Raw genomic sequence first — 27,567 nt, 5'->3', positions numbered from 1 at the left:
GGTCACTGCACTTCAGCCTGGGTGACAAAGCCAGACCCTGTCTCAAAAAAAAAAAGGAAAGAAATCTGAATTCCTGAAATTTAAACTGTTAATTAGGGGTAACTGGTCACAGGAGTAGGACCAGTTTCGCCTGGCTGCTGTGTCTGAGAAACACAATGTGGCTCAGCACCTTAAGGGCAGCAGTGATATTATTCATTCTACTCTGTTCATAATTCAGAACTGGAGTCTCCTTGTGGCTATCATAGCAAGCATTGCTGGATGTAGGGGCATGGGGGTCCTTCAGTTATAATGATCTCATATGGAGCAGTAATATGGTTTTCTAAATATCCACAGTATGTCTCTTTTAATTTTAGTGATGCTACATTTGTTCTCTATTTGCTGAACTAGGGATGTGTTTTTGTGTGCAACAGTTAAATTTAGTTCCCTTGCAGGGACACTGCCTGTCATTCTTGGCAGTGAGGCTAACCTGTCTTTTGTCTCACAGGCCACAATTCCAGAGTGGTGTCAGGGCGCTGCTCCTTCCGGCTTGGAAGGGGAGCTTCTGCGTCGCTTGCCAAAGCTCAGGAAACGCATGAGGAAGATGTGCCTGACGTTCATGAAGGAGAGCCCCCTGCCTCGCCTTGTGGAGGGCCTTGATCAGTTCACAGGTGGGTGCCAGCATCCAAGTCAAGGGTGGATCTTTCTGTTTTCCCCAGTGGCGCAGGAGGGCTGAGAATGTGGCAACTGTGTCCTTTTTTGATACCTTGTGTAGTGTTGAACAGTTGATTGAATAAGCAAGTGGGCTTAAAAACCCACAGAGCTCAGAAACAGGAGCCTACTGAGAACACACAATCATAATTTTCACATTGTCGTCCTCTCATGTAACTTGGCACTGTGCCATCTTTTATGAGAGCCTTGTCTATACTAGTTCCTGTTGGTTGGTGTTACCAGTAAAGGGGCACAGAGGTGGATTTCCCAGTGTCTAAGCTGTCCCCACTGTCAAAAAGTTGTCTCACTTGAGGAGGATTCATCCCCATCCTCTTGCTTTCTTCACTTCAGAGAGGCACAGCAGTTTCATTTCTCAGGCTGTCTTTGCTCAGGGAAGGTGAGAGCGAAGATCTCATAGTGTAACACAGCAATAGCTGGGAAGGGAACCCAGAATTTAATAGAATGTTTGGGCCCCTGGCAGCCTCTGACTACCTCCTTCACCCCATCTACCCCCCAACTGCAGTGAGTGTGCTGTCAGTGAGGGTGGCCTGCCTTTAATGAGGTTGCATCTAATCTCAGGGAGCTCTTCCTTTTTAAAACTTGTCAGCCGTTGCTCAAGGTGACTCAGGCCTAGGGGTGGGGGTGAGTGGAATACAGATCCATTTGCATCTCCTGGAGAGGGGATGCGCTGCAGGATGCAAAGCCTCCCTCATCCTCTAACTCTCCCACACTGTCTGATGTCTTTGGTGTCCTTGTGCTCACTGGTGACTGCCTATATTTGGCTGGTAGTGCTGCCTTAATATAGTACCACAGACTGGGTGGCTTCAGTGTGAGGCTAAAAGTCCAAGATCAAGGTGTCAGCAAGGTTGATTACTTCTGAAGCCTCTCTCCTTGGCTTGCAGATGGCCACCTTCTCACTGTGTCCTCCCGTGGTCACTCTTCATCTGTGTGTTCTGTGTCCTGATCTCTTCTTTTAAGGACTTCAGTCAGATTAGATTAGAGCCCATTCTCATTTCACCTTCATTACCTCTCTAAAGGCCCTGTCTCCAGATACAGTCACATTCTGAAGTTCTAGGGGTTGGGACTTTAACATATGAATTGAGGGGGAAGACACAACCCAGCCTATAACACTGCCTGCAACAGGGAGGCGGCACCCTTGTGTTATTGGTACCCACGTGTATTCAGGAAGGCAGCTTGGTGCTATATAGAAAGAACTTGGGCTTTGGAGTAAGGTAGGCCAGTGTTCAAGTCCTGGCTCATCTACTCGTTCACCACATGGCCTTCAGATAGTGACTAGACCTCACTGAGCCTTTCTTGAAGTCTGTAAAATGGAGCTACAAATAGGTGCTTCTGAAGTTGTGCACATGAAAAGAGAATTTACGATGTACTAGCTACAAGTGGAAACTCAATACATATTATATTAATCTGAAATTTCCTTCAAGTGATTATAAATTTCTAGTATAATGCACTGCACATAGTTGGTGCTCAGTAAGTGCATTTGCTTGATTGATTATAAAACCCCTAAATACAAAAGAATGACTGCTGCTGTTCGGGTTGTTATTGTCAAGAGATTTGAAATCCTGTGTGTTATTTTTCTATTTCCATGCACCTTGACCAGTTTGGTTAAAACACTTAATGAGATTTTACCAAATGCTAGGGACTATGTTAAGTACCCAGGGTATAAAGATGAATGATACTTGGCCTTTGTTCTCCAGAAGGTCCCTGGTGTTGGGTAACAAACACATTACCAGACCCCTGGGATTTTCTTATTGTCTCCCCTCCCCGCCTTGTTTTCCCTTACAGGTGAAGTGATTTCCTCTGTGAGTGAGCTGCAGAGCTTAAAGGTGGAACCCTCTGCAGAGAAGGAGAAGCAGCGGTCAGAAGCCAAGCACATTCTCATGCAAAAACAGCGAGCTTTGTCAGACCTCTTTAAACACCTTGCAAAAATTGGTAAGGTTCTCACTTGAAACCCAATGAAATGTAGTCACCAACTTTTAGGGAGAGAAATGACATGACTGATTTTGGGGGAAATTCCATAGACAGTTGAGATGGTGGACAACAGAAGGTACAGGCAAGGTTTCCAGATGTCTAAGAGTTCCACTCACATGCAGGAAAATCCTATGACCAGCCATCCATGATTCCCAAATATTTCCCGCTTTGTATGAGGTTTCTCGGAATCTATATTTTTATTTATTTATTTAATTAATTTTATTTTTTTGAGACTGAGTCTCGCTCTGTTGCCCAGGCTGGTTAGTGCAGCGGTGTGATCTCAGCTCACTGCAACCTCCGCCTCTTGTTGCCCAGGCTGGAGTGCAATGGCGTGATTTTGGCTCACTGCAACCTCTGCCTCCTGGGTTCAAGCGATTCTCCTGCCTCAGCCTCCCAAGTAGCTGGGACTACAGGCGCGTGCCACCACACCCGGCTGATTTTTGTATTTTTACTAGAGACAGGGTTTCACCGTGTTAGCCAGGATGGTCTCAATCTCCTGACCTCGTGATCCACCCGCCTCAGCCTCCCAAAGTGCTGGGATTACAGGCGTGAGCCACCGTGCCTGGCAGAATCTGTATTTTTAAAATTTCTGTCACCACGTGCTGTACCATATGCTTGCAGCATAGCATAGAGAGCAGTGCTTCTCAAACTTGAACGTGCATGTGAATCACCTGGGGAATCTTGTGGAAGTGCAGCTACAGATCCTGTTTCAGTTGGTGTGGGTGCAGCCTGAGAGTCTGCATTTCTAACAAGCTCTCAGGTGATGCTGTTTAGAAGACTTTGCTTTGAGTAGCAGGGGAGAGGGGGGCACATCCATTCTCTACTAAGCATCTTTGCTTAAAGAAATGCTGTTTATTTCCTAGGTTTGTCGTATCGCAAAGGTCTTGCTTGGGCCCGTTCAAAAAACCCTCAAGAGATGCTTCATCTTCACCCATTAGATCTCCAGAGCGCATTGTCCATCGTCAGCAGCACTCAGGAGGCTGATTCTAGGTTTGTCTGTTTTTGTTTTGTTTTTTCCCTACTTATAAATGGAGCAAGTAATTTAGAACTCCTTGTCCTCATTTGCACATTGCAAAAATAGGGATAGCAATACCACTGTGGCTACCACTTACAAAAGTGCCTGGCTCAGGATCTGACTCCTGATGGACATTCAAATGAAAGTGTGAGGCTGGGTGCAGTGGTTCATGACTGTAATCCCAGCACTTTGGGAGTCTCAGGTGGGCAGATCACTTGAGGTCAGGAGTTCAAGACCAGCCTGACCAACATGGCAAAACCCTGTGTCTACTAAAAATACAGAATATTAGCCAGGCATGGTGGCACATGCTTATAATCCCAGCTGCTCAGGAGGCCGAGGCAAGGAGTATCACTTGAACCTGGGAGGTGGAGGTTGCAGTGAGCTGAGATTACACCACTGCACTCCAGCCTGGGCGGCAAAGTAAGACTCTGTCAAAAAAAAAGAAAAAAAACATTTATTTTCTTTCTCTTTCTTCCTTGCATTCACCTCTCCATTCTTCTTCTTCTTCCCTTTTTTTTTTTTTTTTTTGCCTTTTGATTTTCCTGAGGTCTACTTGCTTCATTTGATCATACATGTGGAAACCTATTAGAAAATGGTATATTTTTAGTTGCTCTATATACATACACTCCTCATAAGTTCTAATATGTTATTGAATTTGCGAGTCCATACACTATTGAGACAGGCAGAGCTACCTCTGTTTACAACACAGCAGAGGATGTTGTGAATGATGCTTTGCATGAACTGGGTATAGTACACATGTGTGTTTTATTTGCTCCCAGGGCTTTAAATTTGAATTCAACAGAACATTGTAGAAAGGGGAAATTTTACATAAGCATTCTTTTTCAGGAAAATTCACGAAGTGGGCTTGCATTCCCATTCAGTCAGCAGCACTGTAGCTGAATAGTAGTTTCCTCCTTTTGATAGGACACATGCTCTCCAGCTTACTTGAGCCCTCAACAACCCCTGTGTCTTCCCCACGTTGAGGTCAGCTGTCACTGCCATGCATCATTGTATGCTTGGCTGTCCTTAGTCCTCTTATGTTATTTGCCTGGCCCCTGTAGGCATCAGAGTTTATGACCCCCTAGCCTCCACTGCCAAGATAGGAAGATTTCATTGAAGAAACCATGTTGTCAGCATAATTTATTTCCCCTGATACTTCCAGTGCTGAGTTAAGTAAAGGACTAATGAGTGCCTCACTGAATGATTCCTCATAGAAATAAACCTATTCAGACAGCTGACTCTTGGTTATGGCCAAATATACCAATATCTGAGTTTTCAGGATCTGGGGTGGGAGAGCGTGGTTTTAATTAAGTAAACAATGTTGATATCTTTTCCAGGCTGCTTACAGAAATCTCGTCTTCATGGGATGGATGCCAGAAGTATTTTTATCGCTCTCTTGCACGGCATGCCAGGCTTAACGCAGCACTAGCAACTCCTGCCAAGGTAGAATGATAGAACATGAGTCTTGCAGGGGCTCAGGGAAAGCCCTTGTTCTGTTCATCCCAGGGCTGTATTCTCAGACCTTGTTAAGTGATAACAGCCTGTTAGTGGAACTGAGCTTTTTGCAGTACATCCTTAAACTTAAAATATAAATCAATGTAATTTTGTGCAAAATCAGAACACCTTAAATAAATTCAGTTACACTTGCCAGCAGGACAGATTTTCTTAATGTTTAAGAAAAATTAAAAACTTCAAATTGAGAATGCCATCTTTAGATCTTTCTTCCCTTTGTGAATTGAGAAAAGACCACTAATAAATGCATTTTGGAGTTAAATCCAGTTCCTGTCTATGGAATCTCAATGATCTGTGCAAGCATAATTGGAGAAACACTGCTCAAAAAAATGAATATGTCACCTCTAGAGTGTGGCATGTCTGACGCTTATAGTAGAAACAGCTTTCTAGAGGCACATCTGTGGGTGATGTTTGTCAGCAGCCCCTTCAGCATGTTTTTCCTTCTTCTGCCAGGAAATGGGCATGGGCAACGTGGAGAGGTGCAGAGGGTTCTCAGCACATTTGATGAAGATGCTCGTCCGACAGCGGCGCTCCCTGACCACGCTCAGTGAGCAGTGGATCATCCTCAGGTATCAGCTGATGAGTTGGGCTTGTGGCATGAATTGGGAAGAATTAGATCCAAGTCAGCTCAGAGTTGCTGCATGTGGGGAGAGGAATAAGACATGCTCTCAATTGTGAAATGAATTTAAGGCCCAAAGAGGCAGGTAGGGTTTCTCCCAGCTCTGCCCCTTGCTTTCAGTGATATGCCTCTAGTGTCCCTCTCCCTCCGTGCTCTGAACCTCCTGAGAATATGGAGCTGCAGAGATTTCAGGGCTGTGTCAGGCAGTGAAAATTGTTATGGGTGAACTATACCTGTGTCTGGAATGAGGATATACATTGCCAAAAGTCCATGTGGGCCAATAGTTAGGCTTCTGTTCATGGTATTAGGGTGAGATGGTCTTGGGCACCGATGAGATTTGAGTCTGCTTCTGTTACTTAGGCTTTGGGGATCCCCCAGATGGCAATCTGAGCCATACATGGAGGCTCCTCAATGGAAACAAATAATTAAGAGATGAGGACAGTTAGGAAGGTTGTCGTCATCTGTTGAATGGATTCGTGGCTGAAGGACAGTATTTCCAGACTATTCACTTTAGCTTCAGGTATTTTCTGCTCCATTCATTAGGGTTTATTTAGCAAAGTACAGCACATTTACTAGATAATGCTAGTTGAAGTCACTGTAGTGGTGTGGTTGTGTTGTGATACTTCTCCTGAAAGACTGAGGGATGGGTTTAAGTACTTTGGGAGGCATTTTAACAGACTTTTTACCTATCTGGGGGATTCTTCCTTCTTGACTGTATGAAAAAGCCCATGCTTGTTCAGAAACACAAATTTCTTTTAAAACAATGTGGTAAAGTGGTTTAAGGTGCCATTCATTGTGTTTTTCCCATGGGTTTCTCTGTACAGGAACCTCCTCAGCTGTGTGCAAGAGATTCACAGCAGGCTGATGGGGCCCCAGGCCTACCCCGTGGCCTTCCCCCCTCAGGATGGCGTGCAGCAGTGGACAGAGCGCCTGCAGCACCTGGCCATGCAGTGCCAGATCCTGCTTGAGCAGCTCTCCTGGCTCCTCCAGTGCTGCCCCAGTGTAGGGCCAGCTCCAGGCCATGGCAATGTCCAGGTACTGGGGCAGCCTCCTGGCCCCTGCCTGGAAGGACCAGAACTTAGCAAGGGACAACTTTGTGGAGTAGTGCTGGACCTAATTCCTTCCAATCTGAGCTACCCATCTCCAATACCTGGAAGTCAGCTGCCCTCTGGTTGCCGGATGCGGAAACAGGATCACCTTTGGCAACAGTCAACTACGAGATTAACAGAGATGCTAAAAACCATTAAAACAGTGAAAGCTGACGTCGACAAAATTAGACAGCAGTCTTGTGAGACTCTCTTTCATTCTTGGTAAGTGTGTCTATGTCTTTACACTTCTCTGTGTGCTTAGGTCCTTATTGTGCTTATCTAAATTGGGGGTGGGAAGGGAAGGGTGTGAACAGAAAGCAGCAGCTTTTAGACAGCCCTGGAACCTAGGGAACTCGTCGGTTTGGGGGATGGGGTGGGGTGGGGATAGGGGGTGTCATCTGCAGGTTCTGAGACTTCAGCGGAAACAGCGTTAGCAAAAGGATGCCAGACAAAGCCCTAAATAATCCACAGGGAGAGCAAATCACATCCTGCCATTTGTGGTGGTCCAAAATAAAAGCCTATCACACCAAATACTAATGATAATGGAATATCATTAATGGAATAAATTTACCATTTATTGGAATAAATTAATGGAATAAATTTATCATTAATGGAATAAATTTAGTAATTTATTCCATTACTAAACCTAGGTGTTTAGTAATAGAATCAAATTATGAAAATAATTGTGCTTCAGTCCTCTGTTACTCAGTGGACCTGCACAGCACTTTGTGGCATGTGTTTAGCCGTAAACCTTCAGCTATGATGAGTTCTACCTTGCATATCTTGTAGTGGTTGCAGGGAGGGGTGTGTGTTTGTGGGAACTGTAATGCATTCCTTTCAACATTGTGGCATTTCTGTTGCAGGAAAGATTTTGAAGTTTGCTCTTCTGCGCTGAGTTGCTTGTCCCAGGTGTCAGTTCATTTGCAGGGCCTAGAGTCCTTGTTCATTCTTCCAGGGATGGAGGTTGAGCAAAGAGACTCACAAATGGCACTAGTTGAAAGTCTGGAATATGTAAGAGGAGAAATTAGTAAAGCCATGGCTGACTTTACTACCTGGAAGACCCATCTGCTTACTTCAGATAGCCAAGGAGGTAAGGAATATTGTTCAGTCAGGGAATGAAAGTCCAGTGTAGAAATGATGTCTTATAGATGTAAGTCTCATTGTCCAAAAGACACATTATATTTTGGTCTACATGTACCTGTCCAGGGTTCTGAGGCAGGGAGGTGCGGTTGAAATCCACAGCTCTTAACTTTTTTGCCCCATTTGTTTGGATGCCTGTTACATACTTTGTAACACACATAGGAAGGCAGCATCAGCTCACTGTCTGTTTTCCCTTAGATTGAAAAAGCTTGGCACTGATATTTGGACTAAGTTAGTGTTTATTCATACTGTCTTAACTGTTATTTTTATATTTTTTACATTATTTTAGTAAAAATGTTTTAATACAAGGTAATAAACTTGTAGGTTTATCGAGGCAAGGAATTTGTCTCTTCTTTGTATCTGGCACAGCTTGACACAGTGGCTCATCAATAAATGAGTATTTTTAATGATTTCCAGAGGCACTAAAGCAAATGATTGGTGTCTTTTGTTTGTATGTTTGTTTTGCACCATGTTACCTGCTAGGAAATCAAATGTTGGACGAAGGATTTGTGGAAGATTTTTCAGAGCAAATGGAAATTGCCATCCGAGCCATCCTCTGTGCCATCCAGAACTTAGAAGAAAGAAAGAATGAAAAAGCAGAGGAGAACACTGACCAAGCAAGCCCACAAGAAGATTATGGTATGTCTGAAATCAGGCAGAAATTAGTTTCATGCCTGATTTAATTTTTGTATTTGATGATTTATTTCTGTGGCTAAATAGTTAAGGATGGATGTTAGAAACAGATAACTGCATGGATAGAGATAAAAGGATTTGTTTTCTGTTATTCATCATGTTGTTATTTTCTCTGAATGAATGAGGCAGCAGGCTTTGAGAGACTGCAATCAGGACATCTAACAAAACTCTTAGAGGATGACTTCTGGGCCGATGTGAGCACTTTGCACGTGCAGAAAATAATTTCTGCCATCTCCGAGCTGTTGGAGAGGCTGAAATCGTACGGTGAGGATGGCACAGCAGCAAAGCACCTGGTAACTAACTGTTCTTTACAAACTTCTTCCTCTTCAGAATGCACTGAGCAAAGGCAGAGTGGGCTTTACTTCCCTCCACGTAGATAAGTGCCAGAGCAGGCCTCAGTGCCAAAATCACTAAGAACTTGGTCTCTTTATTTATACGTGCAAAGTCATTGACAAGCTTTGAAGAGCTTAGGGCTTGCTAGCTAATTGTTAGATGCATAGGTGCAGAAATGCTAACCATTCAGAATATCCATTATATTAGGATTCTTTCATATCTTATTCACATACTCCCAAGTATCTGATGTTACTGATAGACGATGTTATCAACTGAGGCTTAGCAGCCATCCTGTGTAACCACCATTCCCACTACAATAAGCGAACAGAGTAAGCAGTTGTAGTCTTTACAGTAAGTCCAGAGAAGCAACTTACTTTGCAGGACATTGTATGTTATTCTGTAGCATTGCCTCCGGTGCTAACTTTGAATCAGCAGAATTTATTTATAAACATTTTATTTTTCTTATTTTATTTTGGGACACGGTCTCATTCTGTTGTCGAGGCTGGAGAGTGTGGTGGCATGACCATGGCTCACTGTAGCCTTGACCTCCTGGGCTCAGGTGATCCTCACACCTCAGCCTCCCAGATAGCTGGCAGTATAGGCATGCACCACCATGCCCAGCTAATTTTTAAAGTTTTGTAAAGATGGGTTCTGGCTATATGTTTTTTTTGTTTGGTATTTTTTGTAGAAATGGGGTTTTGCCATGTTGCCCAGGCAACATGAACTTGAACTCCTGGGCTCAAGCAGTCTACCCACTTTGGCCTCCCAAAGTGCTGGGATTAAAGGCGTGAGCCACTGTGCCTGGCCAACATTCTATTTTTAAAAAACCAACATTGTTAGCCAAAGGAGACATCGGTTTGAGATTGTACTTTTGTGACGATATATGTAAATGAAGAAATCTCAGTGAGCTGTGTGTATTGGGGTGGGTGGAGGTTACAAACACATACATGTAACTTGCCATTAGTACTATTTAGTACATTCACAATGTTGTGCAATTACCACCACTATCTAGTTCCAGAATGGAAACCTGGTACCTGCCAAGCAGTGTGAGCAGGCCTTTTGTTTTGTTTTGGTCTCAGTTCTTCAGCCAATCCTGTTCCTTGCTGGTGCGCCTGGTGCCGGTCCTCTCCAGCTACTCAGACCTCGTCCTCTTCTTCCTGACCATGTCTTTAGCAACTCACCGTAGTACTGCAAAGCTGCTCTCTGTGCTTGCCCAGGTCTTTACAGAGCTTGCCCAGAAGGTAAGGACTGTTCACATGGTGCACTGTGAGCAGCAGGGACCCAAGTAAATTTCATGTCATTAGTCTTTGGTGTGATAGGCTTTTATTTTGGACCACCACAAATAGCAGGATGTGATTTGCTCTCCCTGTGGATTATTTAGGGCTTTGTCTGGCATCCTTTTGCTAACGCTGTTTCCACTAAAGTCTCAGAACCTGCAGATGATACCTCCTATCCCCAACCCACCCTTTCCCCCAAACTGACGAGTTCCCTAAACTCCAGCGCTGTCTAAAAGCTGCTGCCGTCTGTTAACACCCTTCCCTTCCCATCCCCAATGTAAATCTTCAGATAACTCTTGAACTAGAGTTGTAGGATAAACCCTTAAGGCTATTAAGTTTTCTTTTAACCATGTTGGTGTAATTATGATTAAATGATAATGGGCCTGTTATTATTAGAGTGTTTTTCGCCTGTTGTGGTGGCTCACGCCTGTAATCCCAGCAGTTTGGGAGGCTGAGGCGGGTGGATCACCTGAGGTCAGGAATTTGAGACCAGCCTGACCAATATTATGATGAAACCCCATCTCTACTAAAAATACAAAAATTAGCTGGGCGTGGTGGCATGTGCCTGTAATCCCAGCTACTCAAGAGGCTGAGACAGGAGAATTGTTTGAACCCGGGGAGGCGGAGGTTGCAGTGAGCCAAAATCATGCCATTGCACTCCAGCCTGGGCAACAAGAGCAAAACTGCATCTCAAAAAAAAAAAAAAAAAAAATATATATATATATATATATATATATATATATGTTTTTTTGGAGACAGAGTCTCCAAAATTGTAATTGTAATTGTAATCTCCACGTGATTACAGGCACGTGCCACCACGCCTGGCTAATTTTTGTATTTTTAGTAGAGACAGGGTTTCACCACATTGGCCAGGACGGTCTCGATCTCCTGACCTTGTGATCTGTCCACCTCGGCCTCCCAAAGTGCTGGGATTACATGTGTAAGCCACTGCGCCCAGCCAGTTTTTTTCTTTAGCAGGGAAGTCATTTGTTCATTCAGCCATGTACCCGGTATTGTGAAAAGCACTGAGGTTGTAGAGATTGTAGACCCTCCCCTTGAAACTCAGGGGCAGTAGACAGTGAAATCTAACAGCAACATGGTGTGGGTAGGTCTAGTCATAGAGATATCCAGCTCTCGGTCTCTCTTAACCTCACCAAGCCTCAGTTTCCTCATTTGTAAAATGAGATCTGCCTATACTAATATGCATTTTTGTGAGAACCACCTGCATTTGAGTATATAAGTTTTGTTTTTGTTCTTAGCATTCTAAGATTTTCTCCAAGCTTAATACAGATGAGATGTACTTGAGGAAGATATGAATTTACAAACTGAAGATGGGGTCTAGATTTCTTATAAACAATTAAGAGTTCTTAGTTCCGAGTCTCTGAAATACTGGAAAGAGGTAAAAAGTGGAAGCCAAGCCTAATGCCTTGTATCAAGAGGATAAATATGTTTATCTGTAGTAATGATAAGTAACAGTAATAATAATAATAATAAAAAGTAATAATAAGTAAAAGAATGAGTCTCAGGTTTCTCCGCCTCTGGTGGGCACCAGGCCAGCCTTAACATTCCATTGCTTCTTGGAGAAAACACTGTATACTAAAGATAGTGGCAGGAAAATGTGTGGTTCGGGTGCCTTGAGATTTGGCTCAGCTGGATTTGTCCATTTGTACCGTAGCTTTTGTCTGACAGGCTGTAGAATGACTTTGGCCTTTCAAACCTTTGTCTGTTGCGGGTAGGAATGGTTCTGATATGTGCAGAATGTTGGGAGCCCTGTGGCTATCCCAGACGTAGCAGCTGCAATGATATACTCTGGTAAGGGCATCTGAAACTCCCTCCTATGTGGTCGTATTCTTTGTCTATTTCTGAATGTCTCTCATTTAAATAATGTAGTTCAATGGGAAAATTAAGCAAGTAAGCCAAACTGTATTTTCCTATCAACATTCTGAGAATATATGTCCTAAAAGTGGGTTTGGCTTGTTAAAAATTTTTCTAAGTGTCCAAATTGTATTCATATCTTTTCTGAGTAGTTCAAGGGAACTTGAGAGTAGGTTAGACAGTGCTAAGATAATAGATCTAGGCTGTAATTAAAGCTCTTGATCCGCAGGAAGCTGTTTCTGTGTAACCAAGTCATAATTAGTGTTTACTGGTTTGGGATCTTAATTCCTTGCTAATTAGCAGCTTATTTTTTTGTGCATTCCCATCCTCAGATATATCTTCATAGTATATATTTTCTCTTACAAAATTAAACTTTCTGATTGAGAGTCACTACTACTTTTTCTTTTTACTTCTGCTCAGCAGGCTAGTATTCTTCTCAGGTTATTTTCCTGTATAAAATAGTTTTTTTCAACATTTCACAGTTATTACTATGTCTGACTGTGTTCTCTCCAGAGCCTGTTCTGCCCTTACTCAAGGACTTTTTCCAAAATACTGTCCTTCTAGTATACTTCATTTAGGTTTTTGTCTTGGCAAAGTGACAAATGACCACATGCCAGAGGCTTCTACAAAGTCAAGTCATATGTTAAATCTGATGTCAAGCTGTGAAACTGCATAACTATTAGCACCAAAGAGGAGAAGAATGTCAGAAGTCTCCTGTACTTCCAGCGGATTTAAGATAATGAGCTAGAAAAAGAATTCAGTATGTGTTTAAATTGTTTTCCTGTGGCAAGAATGAAATCTCCTTTTAAAATTGCTTTTGTGCCTAATTGTTCACTTCCTTTTTCTTTTTTCTAAGGGATTTTGCTTGCCCAAAGAATTTATGGAAGATTCAGCTGGAGAGGGAGCAACTGAGTTCCATGACTATGAGGGAGGTGGAATTGGAGAAGGCGAGGGCATGAAGGATGTGAGTGACCAGATCGGAAATGAAGAACAGGTACGTTTTCACATAGGTATACAGTTGACAGAAGATCACTCTCTTTCTTTTCAACATGTAAGTTACACATAAAAATGGTTTTTACTAGGTTAATAATTTTTAATCTGTGATCTACAGAGCCCTAGATATATTGGTGCTTCGGCAGTGGGTGTAAATAAAAAGCCTAAAATCCACAGGAAGGAACCTGGCAACTCCATCATTGGTTTTGGCTATAATTATGGAGGAAATGATTTTTACTTTTTTTTTTTAAATGGGCAGATATTTACTGATGATTTTCTAGAGTATTTTTGATAGTATTTTTAAGCATAAAAGGCCTGGCTATCTTAAGTGATAATTGCATTAAACAATAATGCCAAAATTTGCTGTTAATAGGTTTTACTGTTGTATATCTTTAAGGCATAGAGTGTTTTAAAAAATCTGTATCCTTTTTTGGTTGGAATCAAGCAACCTTCTGAACTATTCAGATGCTGTGAACTAAGATTGTTACATTGCTTGGATTTTTTAAATGCCTGTCTCATTTGTGAGTGATTTATGTGTATTGGGTGTATCACTTATATTCTAAGTTAAATCAGATCAGAAACTTGTATTTAAGGTAATTTTATAGTTATTAAAAATAAAGGAGAAAACCAATTCAAATTCCCTCCCTTCCTTGGCAGAGAAAACTGGAAAGCAATTAAAAGCCAAAAGAATAATGCTAGTATTTATGTTATGGAGCTCTAATTTTTTTTTTTTGGACCTATATTGTCCTTAGATAATTGCTTTGTTATTTTGGCCTTCTGTATTTCTCAAATCTAAATCAGTGTATACTACTTTTCTAGTAGAAAAAAAAAGTCAAAAGCAAAAGCAAATCTAATAGAAAAGTTCACACAAAAAACATTACATGGAATAAAAAGCTTCCAGAACAATTTGGTAGTGTCTGCTGAATTTTAAATTATGTGTATTCATTGACCCCCAAATTCCATGTTTTCTTATAGAAATGCTAGTGTCAAAGATAAATAGGTATATGAGTGTGTATATATGTCTACACATGGATATTTACTACAGCATTATTTATATGGTGAAAATTGTGAAACAATCCAAATATTCATCAGAAGAGAATTAAATTATGGCACCATCCATGCAGAACAATGGTAAAACTATTAATGAAGTAGAATGAGATGGTTTTGTATGTATCAACATGGAAATAACCTAAGATCCTATTTTTAAGAGATGAGGTCTTGCTCTCTTGCCCAGGCTAGAGTGCAGTTCTATAATCATAGCTCACTGCAGCCATGACTTGGACTCAAGGAGTCCTCCTGCATTAGCCTCTTGAGTAGTTGGGATTACAGGTGTGAGCCACCACACCTGGCTGAGATGTTTTTAAGAAGAGATGTGTTTTACAGGCTGGGTGTGGTGGCTAACGCCTGGATTCCTAGCACTTTGGGAGACCAAGGCAGGAGGATTGCTTGAGGCCAGAAGTTTGAGACCAGCCGGGGCAACATAGGGAGACACTGTCTCTATAAAATTAAAACAAAACAAAACAAAAAACAAAACCCAGCCTGGCCAACATGGTAAAACTCCATCTCTACTAAAAATACAAAAATTAGCTGGGTGTGGTGGCATGCATCTGTAATCCCAGCTACTCGGAAGCTGACGCAGGAGAATCACCTGAACCTGGGAGGCAGAGGTTGCAGTGGGCCAAGATCGTGCCATTGCACTACAGCCTGGACAAGAGAGCAAGACCTTGTTTCAGAAAAATAAAAATGAAAAAAGCAGATTGCATAAGTCTGTAAAGCATGATCTCTTTTTTGTTTAAAAAGATGTTGGGAGGCAGGTATTGGTAACTATCACCTGTATCACTTAAGTATATGTTGGTGTATTCATAGAAAAAAGTCAAAGGTTCACCAGAATGTTGTTGGTAGTCATTCTTTGAGAGGCTTCGAGGATGGAGGTGTTATGGGGAAACTTGTTTTTGTTTGTTTTTTTGTATTTTGGAGACAGAGTCTTGCTCTCTCCCCAAGGCTGGAGTGCAGTGGCATAGTCTTGGCTCAACTGCAACCTCCAGCTCCCGGGTTCAAGAGATTTTCATGCCTCAGTCTCCCAGGTAGCTGGGATTACAGGCGCACGCCACAATGCCAGGGTAATTTTTGTATTTTTAGTAGAGACAGGGTTTTGCCATGTTGGCCAAGCTGTTCTTGAACTCCTGACCTCAAGTGATCTGCCCGCCTCAGCCTCCCAAAGTGCTGGGATTATAGGCGTGAACCACCATGCCTGGCTATTACTTTTGTATTTTAAAAAGGACTTCTTTTTTTTTTTTTTTTTTTTTTTGAAACGGAGTCTTGCTCTGTCACCCAGGCTAGAGCGCAGTAGTATGATCTCAGCTTGCCACAACCTCCACCTCCCGGATTCAAGCAGTTATCCCGCCTCAGCCTCCCGAGTAGCTGGGATTACAGGCCCCCACCACCACGCCTGGCTAATTTTTGTATATGTAGTAGAGACGGTGTTTCACCATCTTGGCCAGGCTGGTCTCAAACTCCTGACTGCGTGATCCACCCGCCTCAGCCTCCCAAAGTGCTGGGATTACAGGCATGAGCTACCGTGCCTGGCCTTAAAAAGGACTTTCAAAAATCAACCATAATGAAAGAGGTAACAATCACAAAACTTTTTGCCCCAAATAGCACATCAATTATATAGAAACATATAAATTAGGCTGGGCTCAGTCGCTCACACCTGTAATCCCGCCACTTTGGGAGGCCGAGGCAGGAGAATTGCTTGTGCCCAGGAGTTGAGACCAGCCTGGGCAACATTGCAAGGCCACGTCTCTAGCAAAAAATAAAAAATTAGCCAGGTGTGGTTGTATGTGCTTGTGGTGCCAGCTACTGGGGAGGCTGAGGCAGAGGATTGCTTGATCCCAGGAGGTTGAGGCTGCAGTAAGCCATGATTGTGCCACTGTACTCCAGGCTGGGCAACATAGTGAGACACTGTCTAACAACATAAAAAATAATTTTTTATAGAAGAAATATAGAAACCAAGGAAGAATGACCAAGATTCTCTTGGGCCACTGTCTTTCAGCGATAATAGTGACAAAAATAGTATTAAAGAATTGGATAATAAAAGATTGATGAATTTTTTATCCTACAAAGAATATATATTCTTGCAAATGTCTCTGGGACTATTTTTACAATTCCCAATAAGAAAACCTGAACAAAATTCTATACTCTGATTAAAACAAGTGGAAACTAACTCCAGAAATTTTACAAATTCCATGTGGCTGTCTCTGTTGTTTCTCTTTTTTTTTCCTCTCCCAGATATATTTTTACACCATTAACCTTGGCATTTATATCTCACAGCTGAAGCAAACATTGGTAAAGTTTCATTTATTTATGTTTAATACTTCTTTATGTAGGTGGAAGATACATTTCAGAAGGGTCAAGAAAAAGACAAAGAGGATCCTGATTCAAAATCTGATATTAAGGGCGAGGATAATGCCATTGAGATGTCGGAAGATTTTGATGGGAAAATGCATGATGGGGAGCTTGAAGAACAAGGTTTCAGATTATCTGTCACTTCATTCTTGTTTTTGAAAGCATAAATATTTTATCCAGGAAATTACATGTTCCTAATAAGGAACCCAATATAATCTTTTGAAACAAGTTGGTTACTGTGCTTAAGTGCAAATGAAAACCTCAGCAGCTGCATGTGCTATCACCACCTCCACTGAGGCAGAAGTCCCTGGTGTCTCATAGATTCTTCTCACATTGATGTTTTAGCTGCCTCGTGTGCTAGATGCAGTGGCTCAGTAGTGAAGCCTGAAAGGAGATGATCCCTAATGGAAAAGGGCTTTCAACAAAAGGCAAATTGTTCTGTAGTGTTTAAAATACCTTTTATTCCTAATTAGAAAAATAGTAGGTGTTTGTTGTAGATGATTTGGAACAAACATGTAGAAAAGAAATAGATCCCCCCTCAGGCCTACCAGCCATAGCACTTAATAAATAGTGGTATATTTCTTTCCATTTATTGCATGTATACCCACACAGAAACCATATACCGTTCTGTAGTCTGCTTTTTTCTTTCTTTCTTTTTTTTTTTTTTTAAGACGGAGTCTCGCTCTGTCCCCCAGACTAGAGTACAGTGGTGCAATCTCGGCTGACTGCAAGCTCCACCTCTCGGGTTCACGCCATTCTCCTGCCTCAGCATCCTGAGTAGCTGGGACTACAGGCGCCTGCCACCACATCCAGCTGATTCTTTTTTTTTTTGTATTTTTAGTAGAGACGGGGTTTCACCATGTTAGCCAGGATGGTCTCGATCTCCTGACATCATGATCCGCCCACCTCAGCCTCCCAAAGTGCTGGGATTACAGGCGTGAGCCACCGCACTGGGCCTGCTTTTTTCATTTAACATCTTATGAACATTCTCCCTGTCATTAAAAATTATTTGAGAATTTGATTTTTTAAAGTACATCATCATCTGTCATATGTTTGTACCATAATTCAGCCCTTGCCCCAAATTTCTGTCCAATTGGAGATAACTGTATCTTACTCTAAAATGAATATCTTGCAGAAATGAAAGTTGACCTTAGTGGCAGTTGGCCTAAGGCACATAGGATATGACCTTTTGCAAAGTATACCCTGTGCAAAGACAAATGAAGACAATTCTGATTGAGACCTGATTTTAGGTGTTGGAAAAAATCATAGCAGTATATTGAAGATGGGGAGGACCCATGGAAACCACCTAGTCCAACCCCATCATTTCAGACATAAAACTCAGGTTGCTGAGTCCCATAATGGCCATTCCCCCAGCACCAAAACCAGACATCCTCATAGGTATTTCCTTACTCTTTTTACCATCTGTTCACACATTATAGACTTCCTTGTACCTCTACTTTGCAAAACACAGTAAGACTATGTCAGTAGATCTAAAGGCATCTGCCCGTAGGGTGTGTTCTGTAGAAAAAGGCAATAAATCTCAGGTGGGGCCCTTGCTAGGGAAGCGGGTCCACACCTCTCTTAAATACACAGGACTGGGTCAGTTTGGAGATCTGCCTAAGCTCAGTGCCTTCCCTTTCAGAAGAGGATGATGAGAAATCAGATAGTGAGGGCGGAGACCTGGATAAACACATGGGCGATCTCAATGGTGAGGAAGCTGACAAACTAGATGAGAGGCTTTGGGGTGATGATGATGAGGAGGAAGATGAGGAGGAAGAAGACAATAAAACTGAAGAAACAGGACCAGGAATGGATGAGGTAATTCAAAGATTTCTCCCCTCCCAAACAAGCTGAGAGGAGGTAATCTGCCCACAACCTACCATTCTCTGTCATTTACTTCTCTTCTTTTTCTGTATTTGTTTTGTTCTCTTTTTTCTATTCCTCTTTTTCTTTTTTCTATCCTATCTTATTGATTACATTCAGAGCTAAGAGTAGCTTGACCTGAGTCATCCCATGTGTTATGAAGGAGGATGAACAAGACCCTGTGCAGATGTTCTAAGCTGATTCTCCTATAGGCCACTGATTTTTTCCAGCTCCCAGCTTGGGAGAACTCCAGGGCTGAGTGTAACACTGCAACAGCCCAGGGTGAAGCAATGAATTATCAAACTCACCCCACCATTCACACACTTAATAATATTGCTGCTGTCATGGAGACCTGCACTGTTTTCTCTAGGTCACGGATGGCACTTTATCAGCCATCCATGGGATAGGTCCAATAGGCAGAAATTATGCATGTCTAAAAGTCAACCCATGCAGAAGCAGTTTCTTGGATTGAGTGTGATGATTGTTTTTTCTTCCTCTGACATTTAGGAAGATTCTGAACTTGTTGCTAAAGATGACAACTTGGATAGTGGCAATTCAAACAAAGATAAAAGCCAGCAAGATAAGAAGGAAGAAAAGGAAGAAGCAGAAGCTGATGATGGTGGACAAGGTGAAGACAAAATTAATGAACAAATAGATGAGGTAATGAAGATTTGAAACTGATCCGCTCTCTTGACTCAAGGCCAGAGCTCTTGAGCTGTATAGTTCTCAAGGTGTCTCAAGATATTTTTTCCCCTGTTCGTCGACTGCTCTCCCATTACCTCATAAAAGAATATGCAACAGAGGCTCTTAACAGGACATAAAATATATAACTGTTGGTTCCTGACAGGGTAGTCCACATGTTGTCTGGGCTCATGCTATAGATCAGAAGCTAAAACCTGTGATCCCTTGTTTATTTCTTCTTGTAAGTTTCTTCGAGATTAAGTAACATAGCACCATTTGTCCTTGGATAACCTGCACAGAAAGTGAAATCTGAGATTCCAACATGAAAGGTCTAAAAATAAAATACTAATGTGTGCAGATAATTTTAGGGAATAGATATTGTGTTCTCTCACAGTGTAAATACTTAGAGCTGATTTTATGGGAATTCTACTTTTTAAAAAAATATTTGTATTTTTATTTTATCCCTGTTGTCTCCATTGTCCCAAAGAGGGACTATGATGAAAATGAGGTGGACCCTTACCATGGCAATCAGGAAAAGGTGCCAGAACCCGAGGCTTTGGACCTTCCAGATGACTTGAACCTCGACAGTGAAGACAAGAATGGTGGTGAGGACACCGACAATGAAGAAGGAGAAGGTGCGTCTTTCAGAAACAAAGAGACCGGTTAGAACTCACATTAGTGAACAGTAATTGATTTCTCTTTTGAAAGCTAGCTCAGTGTCATGGCCAGGTGATAAATCACGTTTGGTAGGCTCAATCCCAGTCTGAGAAAATGGTTTGCCTTTCCTTTGTAGTATTTCTCATGTGATTATCCCTACAGCTCATCAACCAGCAGGTATTTCTCAAACTACTGTCATGTCCTATTCTCGCTTTTGGCACTGCTATGCCCTGGTGGTGCTTCACACACAGCACTGTCTCTTCACAGCCATTACTGTGTATCCCATCTCATGGGATGGTGTAAACGCTGTGCAGTCTGGGTATACCAAGCTGTCGTGGAGTCCAGTTATAGCTTTTTTAGGGAAATGATGGTTTCAGTTATTGATTGTCATGTGTAGTGAGGAATGAGACTAAATAATCCCAAGAGAAATCGCATGGCATATGACAGTATTTCGTGCCTTTGTTGTCCATTTTTCAACCCTAGTGAATCCTTTAGGGAGTGTTATCTGGTATTAGTTGAAAGCATTGTGTTGGAGGTGCCCCTGTAACAGAGGGCCCCATTCCTGCTGCTGCTTAATCAGACAGAAAGATGTGAGCTGGCCTCGCTGATAAATGAGTCAGTTACATAGTTATAAAATCTATTTTAAAAAATGTATATGTATATTTTTATAATGCTGTATTAGAACAAAAATAGCAAGTTACAAAGGAATAAATAAGAGGTGCCATTTATGTAAAAATTAATTTTGGAATCTAGTTGCAAACAAAGTCAATTACCAAGAAAGCATAAAATTAAGAAAATTAAAATCCACTGAGAATGTAATATGCTGTCTGCTTTTAAATAGCCAGACTCGTTTTGTAACTAAGGAACAATTATTTAAAATTGTTTGCTAATTAAATAATAGATAATGGGAAAAAAAAACCCAGTAGGCTGGTTGCAGAGGCTTGTGTCTGTAATCCCAACACTTTGGAAAGCCAAGGTGGGAGAATCACTTGAGCTCAGAGTTTGAGACCAGCCTGAACAACATAGTGAGACCCTGTCTCTACCAAAGAAAAAAAAATTAGTTGGGCATTATGGCACACACCTGTAGTCCCAGCTCCTCAGGAGCTGAGGCGAGAGACTTGCTTGAGCTCAGGAGGTTGAGGCTGCAGTAGGCCATGATCTCGCCACTGCACTCCAGCTTGGGTGACAGAACGAGACTCTGTCTCTAAAAAATTAAAAAATTAGCCAGGCGCGGTGGTTCATGTCTATAATCCCAGCACTTTGGGAGGCTGAGGCGGGCGGATCACCTGAGGTTGGGAGTTCAAGACTAGCCTGACCAACATGGAGAAACCCCGTCTCTACTAAAAATACAAAATTAGCTGGGTGTGGTGGCATATGCCTGTAATCCTGGCTACTTGGGAGGCTGAAGCAGGAGAATCGCTTGAACCCGGGAGGCAGAGGTTGCAGTGAGCCAAGATGGCACCGCTGCATGCCAGCCTGGGCAACAAGAGCGAGACTCCATCTCAAAAAAATAAAAAAATAAATAATAAGAGTTATTTTAAGAATTTGCTAATAACTGATTTTTGAAGTGTCCAAAGTATAGAAAATCTCTTTTGATAAAACTTTTTCAAAATAAGAGTGTTTCTATTTCAGTGTGAGTTGTATTTTCTGTATATGATCATGACATCCACCAGTTATTCACAATGATAATTGAGCATTAAGCTGCCATTTCCATTGGCCTAAAATTTTCCTATTGTGTTTTTTTGTTTGTTTGTTTGTTTATGGGGGTTTTTTTGGGTGGATTAGCTATTATTTTTTAATGAAATATGCCATTAAAACAACTGTATGTATGAGTATGGTTTAAAACAAGGGTGGGAAAACATTTTCTATAAAGTGTCAGATATTAAATATTTTTGGCTTTGCAGACCATAAGCTCTCGATTGCAAACACTCAGTTCTGCTGTTGCAGAGTGAAAGCAGCCATAGGCAGTACAAAACGGATGGGGTAAACACAGAATATATGTTGCTGTGTTCCAGTAAAAACTTTACTTGTTTTTGGAGACAGGGTCTTGCCCTCTCACCCAGACTGGAGTACTGGGGCATGATCATAGTTCACTGTAGCCTTGACCTCCTGGGCTCAAGTGATCCTCCTGCCTCGGCCTGCTGAGTAGCCGAGACCATAGGTGTATGCCGCCTTGCATGGCTAATTTTTTATTTTTTGTAAAAGATGGGGTCTCACTATGATGCATGCCCAGGCTGGTCTTGAACTCAAGTGATCCTTCTGTCTCAGCCTCCCAAAGTGTTGGGATGATAGGCATGTGCCACAGTGCCCAGCCAGTAGAACTTTCTTCATAGAAACATGTAGAGGCCAGATTTGGCCTGTGGGTCACAATTTGCCACTCGCTGGTTTAGAGAATTGTAATAAGACAAAACTTGCATAAGTAGCTCCCAGCTTAAGAAATCATGTACGTTTCAAAAATTCTGCACTCCTCCTTTTTGTTGTATCTATACAGAAGAGAATCCTTTGGAGATAAAAGAAAAACCAGAAGAAGCAGGTCATGAAGCTGAGGAAAGAGGAGAGACCGAGACCGACCAGAACGAAAGTCAGAGTCCACAGGAGCCTGAGGAAGGCCCCAGTGAAGATGACAAGGCAGAAGGGGAAGAGGAAATGGACACAGGAGCTGATGACCAAGATGGAGATGCTGCTCAGCATCCTGAAGAACACTCTGAGGAGCAGCAGCAGTCTGTGGAGGAAAAAGACAAGGAAGCCGATGAAGAAGGTGGAGAGAATGGCCCTGCTGACCAAGGTTTCCAGCCCCAGGTATCATGAGATGTCTGGCTTTTTATGTTAAAAATAATGAGGAAGAGGAGAAGTCACCTTATTCCCATTAGAATCCCTTTTAGGATACTCCTCCATCAACATGTGGCACTTCCGAGGAGTTCTAGGTTTCTGTTTTAAGACCCTTAGTGAGGAGTGGGGAAGCCTGCTTGTTGCAAGGTCTCCCACCTTATGCTGTTCCCCCAGAGCATTTAATGCTGTGTTTGATTTCTCTGCCGAAGGAGGAAGAAGAACGGGAGGACTCTGATACAGAGGAGCAGGTGCCAGAGGCTTTGGAGAGGAAGGAGCATGCCTCCTGTGGGCAGACTGGTGTGGAGAACATGCAGAACACACAGGCCATGGAGCTGGCTGGGGCCGCACCTGAGAAGGAGCAGGGGAAAGAGGTGATCAGTGGTTTCACTGCAGCCGCCAGCTGCCTCTTAGTAGGGTCTCTTCTCCCTGTCCGACATCACATTCTGTGTAGCATTAGTTGGTTTATGTTTGGTTATTTTGTTGTTTGTTTTGTTGTTGACATCTAACAGACCACATCTCATTCTTTAAGCAACGCGTGACTGAACAGTTATTTTTTAAAGACAGGGATACATTCTGAAAAATGCCTCATTCAGCAATTTCGTCATTGTGCGAACACCATAGCGTGTACTTACACAAACCTCAATGGTAGAGCCAATTGCCCTTAGGCTGCAAACCTGTACAGTATGTTACTGTACTGAATACTGCAGGCAGTTGTAACACAATGTAAGTATTTGTGAATCTAAACATGGAAAAGATATAGTAAAAACGTGTTATTATCTTACAGGACCACCAGTGCACATGCAGTCTTTCCTTGACTGAAACGTTGTTGTGTGGTACATGACTGCTACTTATTTTTATATGCCTCCCAGGACAAACCCCGGAATATCGGCTGTATTTAAGTGGTGTGCATAATAAGAAAAAGTTGTTAGACTGGTAGCTCTAGATGGGAGAATCAGGTTCGTGTTGTTTTTCAGAAAGCTCTCCAGGAAGGAAACATGGAATTTAGACTTCAGGCAATGTATACCTTTAACGGTGTTTTGCTTTTCCTTGCTCATCATCAGGTTTCTAAACGTCTAATTTAAAAAGCAGATAACTTTTTCATTCTTTGATCTGGTGGTGATGTGTTCTGATATGGCCACAATTCAGGTTGCTGGGTGCTATGGAAAGAACATGGGATGTCAACGCAGGACCTGCTGGTTACAGTGGTGATTCTGGACAACTTTAGTCTCTTTGAGTCCTAGTTCTTACTGACAATAACAACCATTTATATTGCTTATACCGTATGACTACCACCACCACAAATATTCATTGAGCACCCATTAGGTGCTAAGCATTTTCAGTACTTCAGAAAGTCCTCTCTATGTCCCCATGAGATAGATGATATTGTACTATTTTCTTCATTGTATATTTGAGAAAAATAAGCCTCAGTAAAGTTAAATGACAACCTCAAGTGTACATAGCTGGTTGATGATGAAGCCTGGTTTCTAATTGAGGTCTGTCCTGTCTTTGGAGTGAGACATAATATTCCTGCAAAGAACTAAGCAGCCTTACAAAGGCCCCTGAGAGGTTAACATAAGGTCTGTACCTAGACACTCCTGTTTCTGCCTGTAGGCCAGGCCTTAGTTACGGTGAGTTCCAGGGCAGGCAGGTAGGCAGGAGTGATTATATGACTGAGAATAAAGGACAGCAGTGAGAGAAGTTGTATTCAATGCAGCACAGTAACCAGGGACTTGTAATAGCTTCTTTCACCTCATTCTTTTGTGGCTTGGATTTCCTAGGAACACGGAAGTGGAGCTGCAGATGCAAACCAGGCAGAAGGCCATGAATCGAATTTCATTGCCCAGTTGGCCTCCCAGAAGCACACCAGGAAAAACACACAGGTTTCTATCACTCCTCAGCTAAACTTAGGTGAAGGCAGCATGTAGAAAAAGATGTTCCAAACGTAGTGCTTTAAAAAAAAAAAAAAAAAGCTATACTCCTGGTTTTTTTGTTGTTGTTGCATCAGATATGATAGCAGCCTTGGTGAGCAGACCACGACCATGGGGTTTACCCAGTGGGATCCCGTCACGGCTTCTTCCCTGCCTGTGTCTCTCCCCGACCCCTGATTCCGGCCATGAAGTCTTAAGAGCCAAGTGCTGTGTGCGGCTGCCCAGCACAAACCGTCTCACTCTTTTCATTGTCCATAGGCTTTTGCTTTTTTAAGAGTAAGTTTTTTTTTAAGTAGGGTATAATTTATGCACGTGATGCAAAATTAGTGTAAAAAACCAATCCCCTAAAAGCCTACATCCTATTCCTGTCCCCAAGGGACCCTCCTCAGAGCAAATTGGTGTTACCAATTCCTTCTTTCAGAGATATTTTCTGCATATATGACATATATGGATGTGTGAAAGTGTGTTTCTTTGCCTTCATTTTAGATATAAAAGTATATCATAGAGATTGTTCTATGTAAGTATATAGAGTCCCGGTTCTTTTTAATAGCTGTATTGAATTCCATTCTTGTATGGCTACACCTGATTTACTTATCCTGTCCCCTATAGATGGATATTATGTTTACTTTGAGTCCTTTTGTCATGACAGGCAAGGCTCTGATGAATTTCCTTGTATTTCTCAGAGTTTTAAGAGGAAACCTGGGCAGGCTGACAATGAACGTTCCATGGGTGATCACAATGAGCGTGTGCACAAGAGGCTGAGGACTGTGGATACGGACAGCCATGCCGAGCAGGGGCCAGCTCAGCAGCCCCAGGCCCAGGTGGAGGATGCAGATGCATTCGAGCACATTAAACAAGGCAGTGACGCATACGATGCACAGACCTATGGTACGGTCCTGGGAAAGCTGCTGCCTTTGCCCACTGAGCTCTCTATGAGAGCTTGTGCTATGTGACCTATAATAATGATACGTATTTGTGGGGTACAGTGTGAGGTTTTGATACATGTATACAATGTTTAATGATCAAGTCAAGTCAGCTGTGCCTGGCAGCTGATTGTATACACTTATATCAGGGGAGAGAGGAAATGGCTTTGTAAACATAAGAAATGTGCAGAAATACAGTTTGTTTTTGGTACAAAGGTATCTGTAACCAAGTGAAGATGGTTAAGATTTCTTGGTTTAGTATAAACTCTTTAAATATCCTTAAATATAATAGTTAAAAATAAGTTGTTCACATCCAAACCCCGATATCAGGGTTTCTTAGTACTGGACATTTCTTTCTTCTTAGTCACCTCTGGATAGGTCCCTGCACTGACAGGTGCTATGAATTTGAAATATGTGTTTTCTCCATAAGTGCAAAAGGGAGGAAAAATGTCTCAGCATGAGGTCATTGGTCAGTCTCCCCTTCTGGTTCTCTTGGTGACTTCAGTTTCATTCCTAATATGTAAACTTATATTGAGAATAATCTACCATTTAGGATGGTACGAAAATGACTGCTCTACATTGGATTACATTTTTCTCTCCTTGATCCCACTTAAAAAAAAAAATAGAGCAGTAGCTACCATGTATTGAGCTTTTGCTTTGTGCCAAAAAACTTTTCTGAGCCTTTGCTGCGTGATCATAAACTTCCTCAACTAATCCTATGAGCTAGAGTCTCTCTGTTGTATAGTTAAGTACACTGAGGCCAGGTGGTTTAAGAACTCACTCACGCAAGATCACAATGCTGGGATTCCTATTCGTCTTTCTGTGCCTTGTTTTCTACTACTTTTTATTATTTTTAATTGACCTATAATAATGATATGTATTTGTGGGGTACAGTGTGAGGTTTTGATACATGTATACAATGTTTAATGATCAAGTCAAGATAATTAGCTTATCTACCACCTCAAACATTTATCATTTCTTTGTGTTGGGAACATTCAAATCTGCTCTTCTAGTCATTTGAAAATATATAATAAATTATTGTTAGAGTCACCCTATAGCCCAGTTAAACACCCTATTTTGTCAAATGCTCAGGAGCATTTGACGGTGTACTTTGAGTTCATACTGTAGGGCGGAAGGCAGCCAGTGTCACATGTATAGTTACATTATATCCTCATAATTTCTGTAGGGGGTAGGGAACAGGCAGTTCATTATGTCAATAGGTCAATAGGAAATCTTGTGCACAGACAAGTCTCCAAGCCACATAGCTGGTCAGTGGCACAACTTGCATCACTAGCATTTTGGAAGCTAGAATGACAGAAACCATACCCACTTATTATTATTTTGTTCTGCAAAGACCTAGGATTTTTATGTGTGGGTGCGTGCTTTGTTGACAGATGTGGCCAGCAAAGAACAGCAACAGTCTGCAAAAGACTCTGGCAAAGATCAGGAAGAGGAGGAGATAGAGGACACCCTTATGGACACAGAGGAGCAGGAGGAGTTCAAAGCAGCAGACGTGGAGCAGCTGAAGCCAGAGGAAATCAAGTCGGGCACCACAGCACCCTTGGGTGAGTCCTGCTAGTGAACAAACCCTTCCCAGGCGCTCTGACTTGAAGTAGTCAGTTCTCTCTCACTATAATCTAGTCTGGTGTTCAGTTCCATGTCCTAATCCATGGCTTAGATGAATGAATTGCCTATAATAATTTCACTATATTTTGTTTGGGACCAGAAAACAAAAATATGGACAGCGGTGGGTGTTGCAGGACACCATCCTTTAAGGAGTCCCCTGAAACTTGAATTTCTGGCAAAATCTCATCAGTTTTTAAAAAATATGTAGAAGAAACCAGAATAGTACACTTACTACAGCTATGATGAAAAGGTATAGTATTAGAGAAATGATATTTTCAATTATATAAAAGTATATGCTATTAGCATAAAATGCAGTAAAATATTAAAAGAAATAGAATGAGGAGTTTCCCTTTCATAGCTAACCAAGTTCTATTAATTACTTGGCAAAAAAAATAGCTTCATCAGCAATGGAATAAATGCAAATTCAAAAGAAC

The 27,567-nt window shown here is 42.0% G+C and overlaps 1 protein-coding gene and 1 long non-coding RNA gene across 2 annotated transcripts in view, besides 2 other annotated features; one reads left to right on the top strand and one right to left on the bottom strand.

Annotated features, from left to right (window-relative positions):
* MDN1-AS1 (MDN1 antisense RNA 1) overlaps positions 1-27,567 on the bottom strand; it is a 50,950-nt gene that overhangs the window by 8,246 nt on the left and 15,137 nt on the right. The window contains exon 2 of the long non-coding RNA NR_111915.1: positions 5,546-5,840. This is a non-coding gene — a long non-coding RNA (MDN1 antisense RNA 1). The remainder of the gene's footprint in view (positions 1-5,545; positions 5,841-27,567) is intronic.
* Positions 1-27,567, top strand: part of MDN1 (midasin AAA ATPase 1) — a 177,297-nt gene that overhangs the window by 138,559 nt on the left and 11,171 nt on the right. Inside the window, exons 74-93 of the mRNA NM_014611.3 lie at positions 485-647; positions 2,491-2,637; positions 3,540-3,666; positions 5,029-5,134; positions 5,657-5,772; positions 6,647-7,132; positions 7,774-8,000; positions 8,534-8,689; positions 8,873-9,036; positions 10,156-10,317; positions 13,085-13,222; positions 16,608-16,749; positions 18,269-18,444; positions 18,997-19,149; positions 19,658-19,805; positions 22,319-22,626; positions 22,866-23,027; positions 24,435-24,536; positions 25,268-25,472; positions 26,902-27,072. Of these exons, the coding sequence (NP_055426.1) occupies positions 485-647; positions 2,491-2,637; positions 3,540-3,666; positions 5,029-5,134; positions 5,657-5,772; positions 6,647-7,132; positions 7,774-8,000; positions 8,534-8,689; positions 8,873-9,036; positions 10,156-10,317; positions 13,085-13,222; positions 16,608-16,749; positions 18,269-18,444; positions 18,997-19,149; positions 19,658-19,805; positions 22,319-22,626; positions 22,866-23,027; positions 24,435-24,536; positions 25,268-25,472; positions 26,902-27,072 (3,559 nt within the window). The remainder of the gene's footprint in view (positions 1-484; positions 648-2,490; positions 2,638-3,539; positions 3,667-5,028; positions 5,135-5,656; positions 5,773-6,646; positions 7,133-7,773; positions 8,001-8,533; positions 8,690-8,872; positions 9,037-10,155; positions 10,318-13,084; positions 13,223-16,607; positions 16,750-18,268; positions 18,445-18,996; positions 19,150-19,657; positions 19,806-22,318; positions 22,627-22,865; positions 23,028-24,434; positions 24,537-25,267; positions 25,473-26,901; positions 27,073-27,567) is intronic.
* Positions 12,732-13,026: a silencer, noted in NCBI's record as "tiled region #852; HepG2 Repressive non-DNase unmatched - State 16:ElonW". NCBI's record gives its function as "represses a minimal TATA promoter and a strong SV40 promoter by Sharpr-MPRA in HepG2 cells {active_cell/tissue: HepG2}" and the evidence as "EXISTENCE:reporter gene assay evidence [ECO:0000049][PMID:27701403]".
* Positions 22,191-23,390: an enhancer, noted in NCBI's record as "BRD4-independent group 4 enhancer chr6:90367565-90368764 (GRCh37/hg19 assembly coordinates)". NCBI's record gives its function as "activates an origin of replication core promoter dependent on BRD2, P300/CBP, MED14 and CDK7 cofactors, and independent of BRD4, by STARR-seq in HCT116 cells {active_cell/tissue: HCT116}" and the evidence as "EXISTENCE:reporter gene assay evidence [ECO:0000049][PMID:35650434]".

This window comes from Homo sapiens, chromosome 6 (assembly GCF_000001405.40).
Source record: "Homo sapiens chromosome 6, GRCh38.p14 Primary Assembly".
In the NCBI taxonomy this organism is placed as follows: Eukaryota; Metazoa; Chordata; class Mammalia; order Primates; family Hominidae; genus Homo; species Homo sapiens.
The sequence above is the reverse complement of the archived record's forward strand: the minus strand, read 5'-3'. Positions and strand labels throughout refer to the sequence as shown.